General features: G+C 37.7%; 1 protein-coding gene across 25 annotated transcripts in view; it reads left to right on the forward strand.

Annotated features, from left to right (window-relative positions):
* The window catches only part of PCM1 (pericentriolar material 1), a 106961-nt gene that overhangs the window by 71261 nt on the left and 17130 nt on the right, over positions 1-18570 (forward strand). For 21 of the 25 annotated variants that reach the window (NR_148032.2, NM_001352633.2, NM_001352650.2 and 18 more), the window contains 5 exons: positions 12015-12149; positions 15299-15496; positions 16361-16420; positions 16989-17118; positions 17419-17579. Coding sequence is in view for 24 of the 25 variants with exons in the window: in NM_001352633.2 (NP_001339562.2) it covers positions 12015-12149; positions 15299-15496; positions 16361-16420; positions 16989-17118; positions 17419-17579 (684 nt within the window). In the remaining variant the exon portion in view is untranslated. Of the gene's footprint in view, positions 1-12002; positions 12150-15298; positions 15497-16360; positions 16421-16988; positions 17119-17418; positions 17580-18570 lie in introns of all 25 variants that reach the window. The other 4 variants (NM_001352632.2, NM_001352634.2, NM_001352639.2 and 1 more) reach the window with 1 other exon arrangement.

Here is an 18570-nt window from a genome sequence, read left to right on the forward strand (position 1 = left end):
TTTTTAGCTCCCACAAGTAAGTGAGAACATATGAAGTTTGTCTTTCTGTGCCTGGCTAACTTCACTTAACATAATGACCTCCAGTTCCATCCATGTTGTTGCAGATGACAAGGTCTCATTATTTTTTATGGCTGAATAGTACTCCATTGTGTGTCTGTACCACATTTTCTTTATCTGTTCATCTGTTGATGGACACTTAGGTTGCTTCCAAATCTTGGTTGTTGTGAACAGTACTGCAACAAACATGAGTGTGCAGATAGCCCTTTAATACACTGATGTCTTTTCTTTTCTGTATATACCCAGCAGTGGGATTGCTGGATCATATGGTAGCTCTTGCTGTATTTTCAGTTTTTTGAGCAACTTCCAAACTGTTCTCCAGAGGGGTTGTACTAATTTACATTCCCACCAGCAGTGTATGAAAGTTCCCTTTTCTCCACATCCTCGCCAGCATTTATTATTGCCTGTCTTTGGGATAAGTGCCATTTTAACAGAGGTGAGATGATTTCTCGTTGTAGTTTTGATTGTCATTTCCGTGATCATGTTGAGCACCTTTTATGTGCCTGTTTGCCATTTGTATGTCGTCTTTTGAGAAGTGTGTCTTCAGATCTTCTGCACATTTTAAAATTAGATTATTAGATTTTTTCCTATAGAGTTTGAACTCTTTATATATGCTGGTTATTAATCCCTTGTCGGATGGTTTGCACATATTTTCTCTCATTCTGTGGGTTGTCTCTTCACTTTGTTGTTTGTTTCTTTTCTTGTGCAGAAGCTTTTTAACTTGATGTGATCCCATTTGTCTGCTTTTGCTTTGGTTGCCAGTGCTTGTGGGGTATCACTCAAGAAATTTTTGCCCAGACCAATGTCCTGCAGAGTTTCCCCACTGTTTTCATATAATAGTTTCATAGTATGAGGTCTTAGATTTATGTCTTTAATCCATTTTGATTTGACTTTTGTATATGGTGAGAGATAGAGGTCTAGTTTCATTCCTCTGCATATGGATATCCAGTTACCCCAGCACCATTTATTGTGAAGAGACTGTCTTTTCCCCACTGTATGTTCTTGGCACCTTTGTTGAAAATGAGTTTATTGTAGGTATGTGGATTTGTTTCTGGGTTCTCTGTTCTGTTCTATCGGTCTGTGTTTCTGGGTTCTCTGTTCTGTTCTGTCGGTCTGTGTTTCTGTTGTTTGTATGCCAGTACCACGCTGTTTTGGTTACTATAGCTCTGTGGTATAATTTGAAGGCAGGTTAATGTGATTCTTCCAGTTTTGTTCTTTTTGCTCAAGATAGCTTTGGCTGTTCTGAGCTTTTTTTGTGGTTCCTATAAATTTTAGGATTCTTTTTTCTCTGTGAAGAATGTCATTGGTATTTTGATCACAATTGTATTGAATCTGTAGATTGCTTCGGGGAGTACAGACATTTTAACAATATTGATTTTTCCAATCCATGAACATGGAATATCTTTCCCTTTTTGTGTCTTTTTAAATTTCTTTCATCAGTGTTTTATAGTTTTCATTGTAGAGATCTTTCACTTATTTGGTTAATTCTTAGGTATTTAATTTTATTTGTGTCTGTTGTAAATGAGATTACTGGTGGCATATAGAAATGCTACTGATTTTTGTGTGTTGACTTTGTATCCTGCAACTTTACTGAATTTGTTGATCAGTTCTAATAGTATTCTTGTGGAGTCTTTAGGCTTTTCCAAGTATAAGATTATATATATATCATATACAAACAAGGATAATTTGATTCTTCCTTTCCAGTTTGGATCCCCTCTATTTCTTTCTCTTGTCTGATTACTCTAGCTAGGACTTCCAGTACTATGTTGAATAACAGTGGTGAAAGTGGACATCCTTGTTGTGTTCCAGATCACAAAGGAATGGCTTTCAGTGTTTCCCCATTTAGTATGATACTAGCTGTGGGTCTGTTGTATATGGCTTCTAGTATGTTGAGGTATGTTTCTTCTATACCCAGTTTTTTGAGGGCTTTTATCATGAAAGGATGTTGAATTTTATCAAATGGTTTTTCAGCATCAGTTAAAATGATCATATGGGTTTTGTCCTTCATTCTGTTGATATGATGTATTACATTGATTGATTTACCTATGTTGAACCATCCTTGCATCCCTGGGATAAATCCCACTTGGTCACGATGGATCATCTTTTTAATGTGTTGTTGAATTCCGAGGTATCGGTTGTAATGTCTCCTTTTTCATCTCTGATATTATTTGGGTTTTTTGTCTTTTTTTCTTAGTCTGGTTAATGGTTTGCCAATTTTATGTATCTTTTAAAATACCAACTTTTTGTTTCGTTGCTCTTTTGTATTTTATTTCAATTTCATTTATTTCTGCTTTGATCTTTATTATTTCTTCTATTTTGGGTTTGGTTTGCTCATGCTTTTCTTGTTTTTTAACATCCATTGTTTTCGTATCTGTTATATGTATGTTTTTGGATTTCAGGTTACCATGAGGATTGCAAATACTGTCTTATAACTCAGTATTTTAAACCGATAACACTGATTGCATAAACAAACAAGCAAACAAAATGAAAACTTATGCAAATGTTAACTTTGTTTCCCTGCTTTTTAACTCTTTGTTGTTTCTCTTTATATCTTACTGTACCATGTCTTGAAAAGTTGTTGTAGCTACTATTTTTGGTTGGTTCATCATTTTGTCTTTCCACTTAAGAGTAGTTTACACACCACAATTACAGTGTTATAATATTCTGTGTACTTTCTATTACTGGTGAATTTTGTACCTTCAGACGATATCTTACTGCTCATTAATGTCTTCTTTTAGATGGAAATAAAGTATTTAGTATTTCTTGTCAGACAGGTCTGGTGTTGATGAAATCCCTCAGCTTTTGTCTGGGAAAGTATTTCTCCTTCGTGTTTGAAGGATATTTTTGCTGGATGTACTATTCTAGGGTAAAAGTTTTCTTCCTTCAGCACTTGAAACATGTCATGACACTCTCTCCTGACCTGTAAGGATTCTAGTGACAAGTCTACTGCCAGATATATTGGAACCCCATTATATGTTATTTGTTTCTTTTCTCTTGCTGCTTTTAGGGTCCTTTCTTTATCCTTGATGTTTGGCAGTTTGATTATTAAATGCCTTGAGATAGTCTTATTTGGATTAAACTATCCTGGTTTTCTGTAACCTTCTTGTACTTGAATGTTGTTAAGCTTACTACCTCTGTCTCTCTCTACCCCCTCTTTAAGGCCAATAACTTAGATTTGTCCTGTTGAGGTTATTTTGCAGATCCTGTAGGTGTGCTTTATTGTGTTTTACTTTTTTTTTCTTTTGTCTCCTCAAGTTGTGTGTTTTCAAAGAGCCTGTCTTCAAGCTAATTCTTTAGCTTGATCAATTCTATTGAGAGATTGATGCATTCTTTAGTATGTCAGTTGCGTTTTTCAACTCTAGAATTTCTGCTTGATTCTTTTAAATTATCTCAATCTGTTTATTAAATTTATCTATGAATATAGAATTCTGAATTCCCGGCCAGGTGCTATGGCTCACACCTGTGATCCCAGCACTTTGGGAGGCTGGGGCGGGTGATCACTTGAGGTCAGGAGTTTGAGACCAGCCTGGCCAACACGGTGAAACCCCGCCTCTACTACAACATACAAAAAAAAAAAAAAAGTAGCTGGACATGGTGGTGCGCACCTATAATGACAGCTACTTGGGAGGCCGAGGCAGGAGAATCGCTTGAACCCGGGAGGCGGAGGTTGCAGTGAGCCGAGATTGTGCCACCACACTCTAGCCTGGGTGACAGAGCAAGGCTCCGTCTGAAAAAAAAAAAAAAAAATTCTGAATTCCCTTCCTGTGTTATCTTGAATTTGTTTGAGTTTCCTCAAGACAGCTATTTTGAATTCTCTGTCTGAAAGGTCACATATCTCTCTCCAGGATTGGCCACTGGTGCCTTATTTGGTCCCTTTGTTGAGGTCATGATTTTTGGTCCCTTTGTTGAGGTCGTGATTTTCTGTATGGTCTTGATGTTTGTGGATGTTTGTTGGTGTCTGGGCATTGAAGAGTTATATATAGGCCTTGTATCTTGTAGGCCTCACAGTCTGGGCTTGTTTGTGCCCATTCTTCTTGGGAAAGCTTTCCAGGTATTCAAAGGGACTTGGGTCCCAAGCCCAAAAACACTGTGCTTTTTGCAGACTCATAGCGGTATACCACTTTGGTGATTTTGGATAAGATCCAGAAGAATTCTCTGAATTACCAGGTGGAGACTTCTGTTCTCTTCCTTTACTTTCTTTCAAATAAATGGAATCTCTGTGTTGAAATGCCTGGAGCTGGATGGAGATGGGGTGATGGAGGCACCCCTTTGGTGACTTACCACTGTGACTGTGCTGGGTCATACCTAAAGCCAGCACAGCACAGCACTGGGGCTTGCCCAAGACCCTCTGTAACCACTACCTGACTACCGCCTAAATTTGCCTAAATTCGCTCAAGGCCCTAGGGTTCCTACTATTAGCAGGTGGGGAAGCCAGCCAGGTTTGTGTCTTTCCCTTCAGGGCAGTGAGTTCCCCCAGGTCCCTAATGGGTCCACAGATACTGTCCTTGAGCTTAGAAATCTACCTGGTATTCTGTCCTACTGTGGCTAAGCTGGCCTTTAAACCACAAGACAAAGTCCTTCCCACTTTTACCTCTGCTTTCCATAAGCAAAGGAGTCTCTCCTGGTGGCTACCACTGTGACCACCGGCCCATGAGTTCTGCTAATATTCATTTAAAGCCCAAGGGCTTTTTAGTCAGCTTGTGGTGAATGCTGCCAGGCCTGGGACTCACCCTTCAGGGCAGTGGGCTCTCCTCTGGCCCAGGGCAGGTCCAGAAATGCTGTCCAGGAGCCAGGTTCTCGAATTGCGGATCCCAGGAGCCTGCTTGGTGCTCTACCCCACTGTGATCGCTCTGGTACTTAAGGTGCAAGACAAAGTCCCCTTTTTCCTCTACTTTTCTCAAGCAGAAGGAATCTTTCACCATAGCCATCACAGCTCAGTATACGTTGGATCTCACCTGAAGCCAGAACATCTCTGAGTCTCACCCAAGGCCCATGGCATACTACATGGGTATCACTGTCAGTTATTCAAGGTTCAAGGGCTCTTTAGTCAGCAGGTTAAGATTAAGCCAAGATTAATCCTTCCAGGACTGGGTCTTTCCCTTTAAGGCAGTGGGTTTCCTTCTGGGCCAGAGTGTATCTAAAAATGTCATCTTGGAGCTGGGGCCTGGAATGGCGACCTCACGACTCTGCCGGTGCCCTGTTGTAGCTGTGGCTGAGCTGGTATCCAAGATACAACACAAAGTCCTTTTTACTCCTTGCTCTCGTCTCCTCAAGCAGAAGGAGTCACTTGCATTGCTGCAGTCAGTGCTGCCTGGGGTTGGGGGAGGGGTGGCGTCAGCAATTCAAGATGGTCTTTCCTACCCTCAGTGTCCCTTTCAGCAATACAAAGTTAAAAGCAGGTACCATGATTGCTCACCTGGTTTTTATTCTTATAATGGTGCTTTTTTTGTGTGTAGTTGTTAAAATTTGGTGTTCCAGAAGGGGAAGATGATTGGTGGAGGCTTCTGTTCTGCCATCTTGCTCCACCCCTGCCTTTTTTTTTAATGGATCCACAACATTCATTCCAAAATATTTATAAAATGCCTACTTAATGCCAGGTTTGGCAGACCTAGCAGTGAACAAGGCCTTTGTTCTCATGGAGCTTGCATGCTAGAGTGGGAATACACTCTGAAATAACATAAGTAAATAAAAGACATATAAGTAACTGTTTATCAGTTAATGATACAGGCCATGCTCAGAATTAAAATTTGGTGATATGATGGTGTCTGTTTTATATTGGATGATCAGGGAAAGCTTCTAATGAGGGAACATTTAAGTAGAGATGTGACTAAGGAGCCAGTGTAAACCAGGATTGTTCTAGACAGTGCACTGGCCTTAAGGTGAGAATTAGCTTCGCGTGTTGAAGGAACTAGAGGGAAAGTCTATATGGTTGGAGGATATTTGTATGAGACTAAGTTGAAAGGGAGGCAAGGGCTAATTGTATAAAATATTACAGGCCATGGTTAGAAGTTTGGACTTTGCTCAAAGTTTGAAGGGAAACTCCTAGAAGATTTTAAGCAGAGAAAAAAAGTCTGGCTTGTTTTTAGAAAATTGATTATAAGGGGGTCAGGAGTGCAGTGAGATCAGAAGAGAAATGATAGTGGCTTAGATAAGGGTGGTGATAAAGAAATACGTAATTGGGATATAGTTAGGAAATCAGTAGGTCCTACTAATGGGTAGAGTGTCGAGAGAGAGAGAAAACTGGCTAGGAGGAAATACGATTTACCAAAATGAAGAAGGCTTGGGAGAAGGGGGAGATGAAGAGCTCTGTTTTTTTTGAGGGGGGTGGGGTTTGAGACAGAGGCTCACTCTTATCACCCAGGCGGGAATGCAGTGGCGCGATCTCGGCTCACTGCAACCCTTGCCTTCTGGGTTCAAGCGATTCTCCCACCTCAGCCTCCCAAGTATCTGGGACTACAGGTGCCTGTCACCATGCCTGGCTTGCTTTTTGTATTTTTAGTAGAGATGGTGTTTCCCTATGTTGACCACGCTGACCTCAAGTGATGCACCCGCCTGGGCCTCCCAAAGTGCTGGGATTATAGGCTCGAGCCACTGTGCCAGCCAAGAGTTTTATTTTGTACTTTAAAATTGAACTGTCTTTTAGACAATCGTAGAGAGGTCAAGTAGTCATTTGGTTACTCAGCTAATTCCAGGCACAGCTGGAGATAGACATAAGGTAGATTATAGCATATAGCTGCTGCCTAAAGCCAGGGCATTTGATTTGAGAATAGAAAGGGGCCTTGCAACTGTGATGTGGGACCAGGTGATTCAGCATTTGTAAGTTGTACAAAAGCGGAGCCAGGGTTGACCAAGAAGGACTGCAAGGAGTTAGTTATGTTGATGGCTGCTATGAGGTCAAGTAGTCATAAAATACAATTTTCTATTAATTATTTTTTCAGTCCCTGTTGTTAAATATTTGTGTTTATTCTGGTTTCTTTTCCACTATTACAAACACTTATTGAATGATTGAAGGTAATCTGTTTACTTTTGTTTCTCTAGAAACAATTTTTAGACATAAAATTTTTAGTTCAAAGGTCATAAACATTTTTAAAGCTTTTTAGACAAGCTGATTGTCCTTCAGAGAAACTAACCAGTTTATATTCCCATCAACATTGATAGTATCAGACTGGTAAGCAGTACTATTAATTTCATTTAACAACATTGATCAGGGCAGATGGAGACATGTGCAACAAATGGAATAGGAAGACAGGACTTCTTTCTGAGATGGCATTCATTACATTCTAATTTAAAATGGAAGTTTTAACAATTAGAAGTGAAAAGTAATTGTTTTCTTTTCATCTAGATATGGTAAACTACAAAATACATTGTCACTGGGCTAGTTTCTTATATTGTACTCATACTTTTCTTTGTAAGACATGTACCACAGAGAATTGCTTCCATTGTGCTCATATTTCTTCCCTCAGCAGAAGTAATTGCTTTTTTTTGGAATGTTTTGAGAGAAGAGAGATCTTTGAGAAAGCACCTGTAGAAACTGCTTTCTCTGTATCTGACTTTACAGCTGAGAGGAAAAAGTCAGCTGATCGTGTCCAGATTATTCCATGTAAAAACAGAAACACGTAGCCTTGTTCTGGGCAATTGCAACAGTTCCTAAATGGCCTTACTATCCTTTTGCCGCTGCTTCTAACCTTTCTTTTTTTTTTTTTTTTTTTTTTTTTTTTTTTTTTTTTTTTGTGGAGAGATCTGTTAAATTTTTTTTTTCTTTTTTTTTTTTTCTTTTTTTTATTATACTCTAAGTTATAGGGTACATGTGCACATTGTGCAGGTTAGTTACATATGTATACATGTGCCATGCTGGTGCGCTGCACCCACTAATGTGTCATCTAGCATTAGGTATATCTCCCAATGCTATCCCTCCCCCCTCCCCCGACCCCACCACAGTCCCCAGAGTGTGATATTCCCCTTCCTGTGTCCATGTGATCTCATTGTTCAATTCCCACCTATGAGTGAGAATATGCGGTGTTTGGTTTTTTGTTCTTGCGATAGTTTACTGAGAATGATGGTTTCCAATTTCATCCATGTCCCTACAAAGGATATGAACTCATCATTTTTTATGGCTGCATAGTATTCCATGGTGTATATGTGCCACATTTTCTTAATCCAGTCTATCATTGTTGGACATTTGGGTTGGTTCCAAGTCTTTGCTATTGTGAATAGTGCCGCAATAAACATACGTGTGCATGTGTCTTTATAGCAGCATGATTTATACTCATTTGGGTATATACCCAGTAATGGGATGGCTGGGTCAAATGGTATTTCTAGTTCTAGATCCCTGAGGAATCGCCACACTGACTTCCACAATGGTTGAACTAGTTGACAGTCCCACCAACAGTGTAAAAGTGTTCCTATTTCTCCGCATCCTCTCCAGCACCTGTTGTTTCCTGACTTTTTAATGATTGCCATTCTAACTGGTGTGAGATGATATCTCATAGTGGTTTTGATTTGCATTTCTCTGATGGTCAGTGATGATGAGCATTTCTTCATGTGTTTTTTGGCTGCATAAATGTCTTCTTTTGAGAAGTGTCTGTTCATGTCCTTCGCCCACTTTTTGACCTTTCAACTCTCCTACTAGAGTTGTTAGCACTTCTGAGGCCTTGGCACTTGCTAATACTTCTGCCTGGAATGCTCTTCCTTCACATACCTACCTGCATGGCTTGTTTTCTTGAACTCAACTGTTTGGTCAAATGTTAACTTTTGCTGAGTAAACCTCTGCCTTATCCTTTACCTGCTTAGTGCTTGCACGCCACCTTTAACCTATGTAATATTTGTCTGCCTCTCCATGCTAAAATACAAGATCCATGACATCTGAGATGTTAATCTCTTTTGGTCACTGTCCAAAAATAGTACATGCACATTGTAGACACTCAGTAAACATTAATGAATTAATAAATGACTGGAATCTTCAACCCTCAACTGTAGTTGAGCTCTTTAGACGCTCTAAGTGTGAAAACAACTGGCCCATAGGATAAAGACCAGGTTCATTGTCACTCATAAAACCTTTTACAGCTTGGTCTGGCCTCTTAAGCCTTGTGTCCTACTTGACATTATTGAAAAAGGCACATTGCCCACATTATGTCCTTTACCTAGAATGACCTTCTCCTCTTTCTCTGTCAGTTTCTCCTGTTTTTCAGGAGCCAGCCCAAATGTTATTGCATGTGTTTACAGGCAGAATTCCTTCCTCTCTTCACTGTTCCTGAGATACTGGATTCATGCCTTCATTATAGCACTTATGACAAAGGATCATAATTATTTGTATCTCCCCCCTAGAATAGTATCTCATAGTACCTACAGCCAAGAAGCACTTAAGATACTGGATAAAAAGAATTTGAGGGATAAGGCATAAATACATCAGTTTTACCAAGTGTTTTGTGAATTTATTTCCTGTTACTTATAAATATATGTATATATTTACCTTCCATAAAAGAATATACTTATAAATTTTAAGAATATAGATTTTTTATATAGATATTTATCTCAGAGCTTGAAACCATTGCCTCAAGTGAATTGGTTTAAATTTTCTTAGTTAATGCTTGCTTTCATCTTAGGCCTAAAGTATTGCCTTTTTGCTTTTATACTTTTATTTTAGCATTAATAGTACAATAAATATTTGTCAACATGTCTTTTAAAAACTAATAGGTATGCTTGTAGTAATATTTATTTGATATGTACAGTTACTTTATAAGGGTTAAAAAAAAAGCCTAAATGATCTATCCTTATGCTTAGGGAGTGCAGCCTTCAGTTAGGAAATTGATTGTTTTTACTTTTTTGTGTCTGATTTGATGGAAGAATTATGTAAGTTACATGCTATCTGCTCAGAAACTGTTATACAATAAAATATTTAATACTTGAGCGAAATAGAAGTCACCTTGAGTCTGTGAAATGTTTAAAAAGTCTTGAATTTAAAAGAATTACATTTTTTAAAGTGATTTTTCTTAAATGTCTAAGATATTAGGAAATATCAATGGTATTTTAGTTGGCTAAAGTGGCTAGTGACACTCATTTAATAGGTTTTCCATTTGACCTTTTAAGCGCTACTAGCATATCTAGAGTTACCTAAATCACAACACTTATCTTGTCACCTTGTGTAAAATCTAAATTGTTCCTTCTCACTTTACCTGTGTAGCCCTGATTTAAGTGATTTCATTTCATGAGGAAATGAAATAATAAATACTAATTTAGCATTTCAAAAAGTGTCTGAGGCCAGTAAAGAGTAGAACTAATAATCTGATTTTAATTATTTATGATGTCTCATTTCACTTCAGATCTTGACTTTTTTTGTAGGACTGTAGAACTTCTTTGTTAATTATGCCCAGGCAGCATTACACCCAGTCACCTGAGTTAGACTTCTTGACTCTCTTTATGTCATCACTAGTGAGTCAAAAATGTATTCTCCTCCTTAGAGTCATCAATTTGACTTCACTTTCTTCTTTCTAGTAGCATGACCTTAATTCATATTCTTACCTTTTGCTTAGACTACCTGTCGTAATAGGCATGAAGTGCATTTTTACTAAGCCGTGTCCTACCCAAACTCCTTAGTCTTCAAGTGGCTTCACTGCTGGATCTGGTGTGCTTTCCCCCTCTAGCTACTCTCCATCTAGGTACATTCACTTCACATTATTCAACATTTTCCATATCTACTGTTACTTTTTCACGTATTAGCTGTTTGTACAAGTTGTCTTGTCTATCCAAGAGGTAAAATACTTTCACTCTTTTCTGCCTGGCTGAAATATTTCTTCAGAAATATTTGTTGTTGCCTCCAGTATGCTCCTACAGCTCCTTAGAGCACCTAGTGGGTGCTTTTTAAAAATATTTATTTATTCAGTAAGTAATGTCTCCTGTGAGCCACTGTATTTTGTGATAAATAAGAATACCTGCAGTTAAAAAAGTGTTATCTACCAGACAGCACGGAGCTTATAGTGATTATTTATATACGTATCTGACTCCTGCATAGTATTTGACTCTCTGAAGACAGGGACAGTTGTGTTGTTGTTGTTGTTTTTTTTTTTTTTTAAATCGCCTGTCTTGACACATACATTATTTTAAATGAGCTTAAGTCTGAGAGGGGACCTTGAACATCTAGTTTGGCACCCTCATTTTATAGATATGTATTGGTGGGGGGGACTGAACTGAGAAAAGGTTTAGGATTTGCTTAAATGGATTTAGTAGAATAAGAAGGATTAGAACCTTGAGATTACTTGATATCGATGATTTATGGACTCAACCTCAGAAAGTTAACCATGATTCATATTATTTTGTAGCTCACACATGCTTCTCAAGGAAGTTTAAGAAGAGACACTTGACTGAAGTGATTTGTTAAGAAAGTTAGGGGGTGATGTTAACCCTCAAGACATTTCAGAATGTCTAAAGGTATTTTTAGTTGTCGAGGTGGTGTAGGGAGGAGGTGTTACTGGCATCTAGTGGGTAGAGGCCAGGATGATGCCAAATATCCTACAATGCACAGGATGTCAATAATGTGAAGGTTGAGAAACCCTGAGTTAGAAAATAATAGGGAATTGGGTACAAGGTGAGTATGCTTGTAAGAGTATTTGAAATTAACTGAATGAAAACAGAAAGATTGGCAAAATGGAAACTAGCATGAATAGTTCTCCTTAAGGTACAGAAAAGTACAGAAAGAAAGTGCTGAAAAGTACTGGATCAGCCAGTTCTTTTACTGGCCATCATCTGCTTTCGTGGGTCAAAATTGCCAAACCTCTCAATACGTATGAATAAAGTAGGAGTTTGGCTTTTCTTATGAATGGATATTTCTAAACAGACATCTGAAAATTGAGGAGCATCTACGGCAAGAAAATTAAAAATTAACATTTTGTATTATATGGATTGATTTTCTTTTTTTAAACAATAGGTAAGTTTATATTCTAACCAACTAGGATTTTTCTCAGGAGCACATGGATGAAGTATGCTCCTCGCAGCTTCTAACTTCAGTAAGGCGCATGGTTTTGACCCTTACCCAGCAAAATGATGAGAGCAAAGAGTTTGTAAAGTTCTTTCATAAACAACTTGGAAGTATATTACAGGTAAGAGTTTATACTTGTATGATTTACCAATATGTACTGTGTGGTAAGGTTTTTTTTCGGGGGGTGGGTGAGGCATTTTCTTGCATTACACAATTTATTCTGGTGGACATCCAATCTAGCGTCCATTTGGGATGATGTTGTAATACTTTTTAGTTGTCACTTGGTTAAAATAATATTGTATTATTAGGTCCTGTTTGTATCTTCATTTAATTTGGTCATCTCTAAGGCATGTCTCTTATAAGCTTTTACTGGTTTGGTTTATCTTCTCACTGAAAACATTTTGAGTTTGAAATGTTTACAAAGTATTCTGTGGCTGTTTCTAAAATAATTGGCTAAAGTAATTTGACTAATCAGGGAAATTTTGGAAGCCAGAGACCAGCTGGTTGTAGAGACTTTTTAGGGTGTACCAGTACGCTTAAATTATAGTAAGTCAGTAACTGGGAGAGAATTTGCCTTCTAGGAGACATTTAGCAGTGTCTGCAGCCATTTTGTTTATCACAGCAAGTAGTGTGGAGAAGGTAGGAGGGCTGAGAGGAGGACAGGTACTGGCAACTAATGGGTAGAGACCAGGAAGAATCTTGATAAACATTTGACAATACACAGGACAGTACCCCATAGCAAAGTATTATCTGGCCCTAAATGTCAACAGTGCCAAGGTTGAGAAATCCCATGTTAGTGTTAATAAAATTACCTTGTTTATTCCATATGACAAACATCTTTACCTTTATATTTACCTGAATGTTTTTCCATTGAGATAGTTCAGTGATGTGTATTTTTACTCCACATTAGGTGATACATTTTTCTTCTCATCTTTATTACAGAATTTTCTTATGAAACTTGGCTTTGCTTCTTATTTCTGTGTTTAAACTGGTTTTAGATAATCACTATTAACTTTTTTTAAACCTTGGGCTTGATGCAAATTTGTATCACTGTAATTTTCCATTTTGTTAGTATTAGGACTAAAGGACAAATTGTCCTGGCCCCGTTAGCAGTTATTAGTACTAACAGATAATTTCTAAGGACTACAAAACATTGATGGTGTTGTGCATTGTAGGAAACTCCATTTTAGAATAAGGCTGAAAGAGAAATTATAATTTAAATATTTTTTATCAAGATCCATGTAGCCCTTCCTCAGTTTTGCCTTCTATGATAATTGTGGACAGATCCCAAAGCATTAATTTCTAAAGACTTTTTTCTCAGTCTAAGGTTTGACTGCTTTTCTTTCATCCCGTTCTTGATTTTTTCACAAGAGGACATACATGAAGAATACAAGTTAATTTACGTTAAATATTGCCCAGAGTATTGAAAAATTTTTATGAGCTAGAGCTTAAATTACCATCTTCTACATTTTTCCTTCTGAAACCCGTTCAAGAATTGTTTTTTCCACAAAGCACCCAGCATATGTACGTTTTTACCATAACTGTACTAGATAAGATAGTCTTTTGGTGGGGGAGAGGAGCAGGCATTGAACATCATAGTTGTTTGCCTGTTTGCTAAATAGGGTAGTCCATATTTTAGAAGGAAAAAGAGGAGTGGTTTTACTAAAAATGTATACAGTATACTTCCTTATTTGAAGATTCTCAACCTAAAATAATCAAAAGGGTCAGAATCTACTTTAAAGAGAGTTTATTCAAGCACAGTGTTGGAGGGATAGCTGCCTGGGAAGCACAGATTCCAAAGAATAGACATCAGAAGTTTGGGATCATTTATATCAGGGGTCCCCAACCCCCAGGCTGGTGAGCAGCAGGCGAGTGAGCAAAGCTTCATCTGTATTTACAGTCCCTCCCCACGGCTCTCATTACCGCCTGAGCTCCACCTCCTGTCAGATCAGCAGCAGCATTAGATTCTCATAGGAGTGTGAACCCTACTGTGAACTGCACGTGTGAGGGATCTAGGTTACATGCTCCTTATGAGAATCTAATTCCTGACCTGTCACTGTCTCCCATCACCCCCATATGAGACCATCTAGTTGCAGGAAAATAAGCTCAGGGCTCCCACTGATTCTACATTATGGTGAGTTGTATAATTATTTCACTATATGTTACAGTGTAATAAAGGGCACAGTCAGTCAATGTAATGTGCTTGAATCATTCCGAAACCTTCCCCCAAGCTATGGTTGGGGGAAAAGTTGTCTTCTGTGAAACCAGGTCCTGGTGCCAGAAAGGTTGGGGACTGCTAATTTATGTGGACAGAGTTTAGAGAAGCTTAACAGAGTTTCAGCATCTTTCTATATAAGGCTTTAATGCATAGTTACAACAGTCTAATTAGTTGAGGTGATGTTTTTGTTTCAGAAAAGGTGGAAGATGAGTCTTTTCTGCCCCCTGATCTGACTTAGGTACAGGACAGTAAAGGAGGCAGTTAATCTGTAACAAACATCAGTGGTTGGGAGGCAGGAGGTCTGGTCTCTTGATCTTTCCTAGTCATTTACAGAACAAGAACAGTGAGGAAAAGAGTTAATGTGTTGTCTAAGAAGAAGAAATCACCAACGTTCAAGTTGCCAGGGCTTAACTTCCTCCTTGACATAATAAATGTAGAGGGTCTTGAAATCCTATTTTCTTTTACATGATCCTATATATCAACTTGAATAGAACTAATGTTTACTTTTGAAGAAAAATTTAAATTAGAATGGTTGTCTTAAGTAAAGGAGGAAGCTTTAAACATGATCCTATATATCAACTTGAATAGAACTAATGTTTACTTTTGAAGAAAAATTTAAATTAGAATGGTTGTCTTAAGTAAAGGTGGAAGCTTTAAAAGTATTCTAATGGTACATTTAGAGGTGGAAGATTTTGTCTTTTCCTTTCATAGCACTTAGTATTTATTACTGTAGTATATATTGTATCTCCTGTACTGTCAGGGAACTTTCTGGTATTAGAAATCCCTGTCTGAATTCATTTGTGCCCAGCAGTTACATCAAATAGGGACTAAATATAGATGACCATATATGTTCTTCCCTTGTGTATACTCTTTAAGCAGGACTAGCAACATTCCCACTTAGTAATATAGCAGTATTCTTTAGTAATACTAACAACCTATCTTTCCTTAGTAATCATAAACATTAGTTTTAAGTTTTTCAGTACTTAAAAGTAATAGTATTTTATAATTGAAGTTTACTGTCTTTAAAAATTATTTGGTTTATCTTTGAATAGGATTCACTGGCAAAATTTGCTGGCAGAAAACTGAAAGACTGTGGAGAAGATCTTCTTGTAGAGATATCTGAAGTGTTGTTCAATGAATTGGCTTTCTTTAAGCTTATGCAAGATTTGGATAATAATAGTATAACTGTTAAACAGAGATGCAAAAGGAAAATAGAAGCAACTGGAGTGATACAATCTTGTGCCAAAGAGGTAAATAACGTTCATTTTGATTTTTAGGATAATTGACACATAAATACAGTTCTTGATCATTATTATTAACTGAAATCACATTTTACCTCAGCAAAAGTAGTTGTTTTTAGTAATACCAGTTAATCACATTATAAGTCATTACATATGCTAGTCACTTGTGGAATTTGAGGACTAACAGCAGTTGCTAAAGATCAGGAATGCGGGCAGGAATTGATGTTAAATGTACATTGTCAGATAACCAGTTCACATTATTGTCCTGTATTCAGGTCTTGAAAGATGAGAGAAGGACTGGGATCTGATCCTGGGCCAGTGCCAGGTGCCTGCCATGTCTGTTATTGATCCCTGTAGATTCTTCGAGAATATGCATTACCCAGAGGTCACTCCCAGTCAACACAAATGCTTATTAGTTAGGGCTTTGGTTTTACCTCCCTGTAGTTTGTTCTGCCTTGTCAAATTAATTTTGATCACAGGTGAGATTGGATGACTGTTCTGCCTCAAGTTGAGGCATACCAGGAAGCCTTTTCCCTAGATGTGTACCCTTTTCCTGACCCTCTTTTATGAGAAGGAAACAAGCCAAGACCCAAACAGAGATGGCTCTTCTTTCTTAGAATCTAAAGTAGACGAAGTCAGGCTGTCCATTTCACACTTTTCATGATATTTATTTTCTGGATATAAATAAATTTCAGACGTTGCTAAGAGCTTGATGAAAATAAAACAGCATGATACTATAATAAATGATTAGAAAGTAATACAGGCCAGGCTTAGGTCTATAATCCCAGTACTTTGGGAGGCTGAGACATGAGAAATGCTAAATTATGTATCTAAGTATGTTGCTAAATTCTGTGTAATTGATTTGTTTTAAAGGCTAAAAGGATTCTTGAAGATCATGGCTCACCTGCTGGAGAGATTGATGATGAAGACAAAGTATGTGCTAATTAATTTTTGCCTAAAAATATGGCTGGGCGCGGTGGCTCACCCCCGTAATCGCAGCCCTTTGGGAGGCCAAGGCGGGTGGATCACGAGGTCAAGATTTCCAGACCAGCCTGGCCAACATGGTGAAACCCCGTCCATACTAAAAATACAAAAATTAGCCAGGCGTGTGCCTATAGTCCCAGCTATTCAGGAGGCTGAGACAGGAGAATTGCTAGAACCTGGGAGGCAGAGGTGGTATTGAGCCGAGATCATGCCACTGCATTCCAGCCTGGGCAACAGAGCTAGACTGTGCCTCAAAAAAATAAAAAGCCTACAAATAATGCTTTTGAAACAATATAAAATTATTTTAACAGCTTTCACCTTAATGTTTGAAAGCAGACTGTATCATCAAATGACCTTTTTCCTGACACTTTTTTATTTTAAAAATAAAACTAGACTATCAAAAATGGTTCTTTGTATTTTTTATTAGATAATGATCATTATTAATACGATAGACTTACTATATACCTTTTACACATGTACTTTAAGGAATTAATTACTCAAATATTTTTGTGTCTAGGACAAGGATGAAACTGAAACAGTTAAGCAGACTCAAACATCTGAGGTGTATGATGGTCCCAAAAATGTAAGATCTGATATTTCTGATCAAGAGGAAGATGAAGAAAGTGAAGGATGTCCAGTGTCTATTAGTAAGTTTAAAGGCTCTGTACTATCTTTATACTTTAGTTTTTTGTAGGTCATTTATTGGAACAGTTTGGTGGAGTGTAACAAGTATAAAATTAAGTGTCAAAGAACTCTGATTTTGAATTTCACTGTGACCCTGACTAAATTATCTAGACTTTCTGCACTGTAAGTTTTTAATACATTCTGTTTGAGGATTTCAGATACTGTATATAAAGCATCTGTGCCATGCAGGAATGCAGTAAGTGGTAGCTATTGTTAAGATTATGTGCTGAAATTTACTAAAAATTGTGTATTAATCAACTTAGATTTGTCTAAAGCTGAAACTCAGGCTTTAACTAATTATGGAAGTGGAGAAGATGAAAATGAGGATGAAGAAATGGAAGAATTTGAAGAAGGCCCTGTGGATGTCCAGACTTCCCTCCAGGCTAACACTGAAGCTACTGAAGAAAATGAACATGATGAACAGGTATTCCCGTATTGACTGACACACTTCCATCAGCCTTATTTTAACTAATCAAACTTCCATCAGCCTTATTTTAACTAATCAAAGTAGATCCTTCTAAATATTCAGGTTTCATGAATGCAAGCCTCATTAATATGCTTATTAAAATCTGAAAAACCAGTTTATTTTTTATGATTGTTTTTTAGAGACAGGGTCTTGCTCAGTCTTCTGGGCTGGAGTGCAGTGGTGTAATTGTAGCTCATTGCTCATAGCCTCAAACTCCTGAGCTCAAGCGATCCTCCCACCTCAGCCTCCCAAAGTTCTGGGATTACAGACATGAGCCACCACACCCATCCAATAATTTATACGTTTTAAATTATACACTGTTTTTAGTGGTGTGATTAAATTTCACACCGGCCCTCTCCTTCCTATTTGGGTTGTGAATCATTCCATTGTCCGGCATGTCTACACTGTATACACTACCTGCTTGTTAATCACTTAATAGCCATCTAGGGTAGCAGATAGACTTGCAGTATAACAGTGTTCAAACAACCCTTATTTGACTTAATGGCCCCAAAGCACAAGAGAATTAATTATTCTATTATTAGTTATTGTTAATCTCTCACTGTGCTCCATTTATAAATTAAACTTTATCATAGATAAGTGTGTAGGGGAAAAACAGTATAAATGGGGTTTGGTGCTATCCACAGTTTTGGAACATACACTCTATGGATGAGGCGGTGCTTTTTTATATGTTATTTTCCTCCCTGGTCTAGATCTTTTCTTCTGGAGTTGGATATTTTACTGTGATGTGCCTTGTTGGGGTCTTTTTTCATTATTTGCAGTGGATACTCAGTGATTGTTTTCAAGTTGGTAAATTTTTAAATTCTCTTTATTACTGCCACACCATTTTCTCTTTTCTCTCCTTCTGTAATTATCAGATATTATTAGTACTCATGGATTGATCTTCTGATTTTCTCCTCTTTTCCTTATCTTTTGGTTTTACTTTGAGAGA

This window comes from Homo sapiens, chromosome 8, assembly GCF_000001405.40.
Source record: "Homo sapiens chromosome 8, GRCh38.p14 Primary Assembly".
In the NCBI taxonomy this organism is placed as follows: Eukaryota; Metazoa; Chordata; class Mammalia; order Primates; family Hominidae; genus Homo; species Homo sapiens.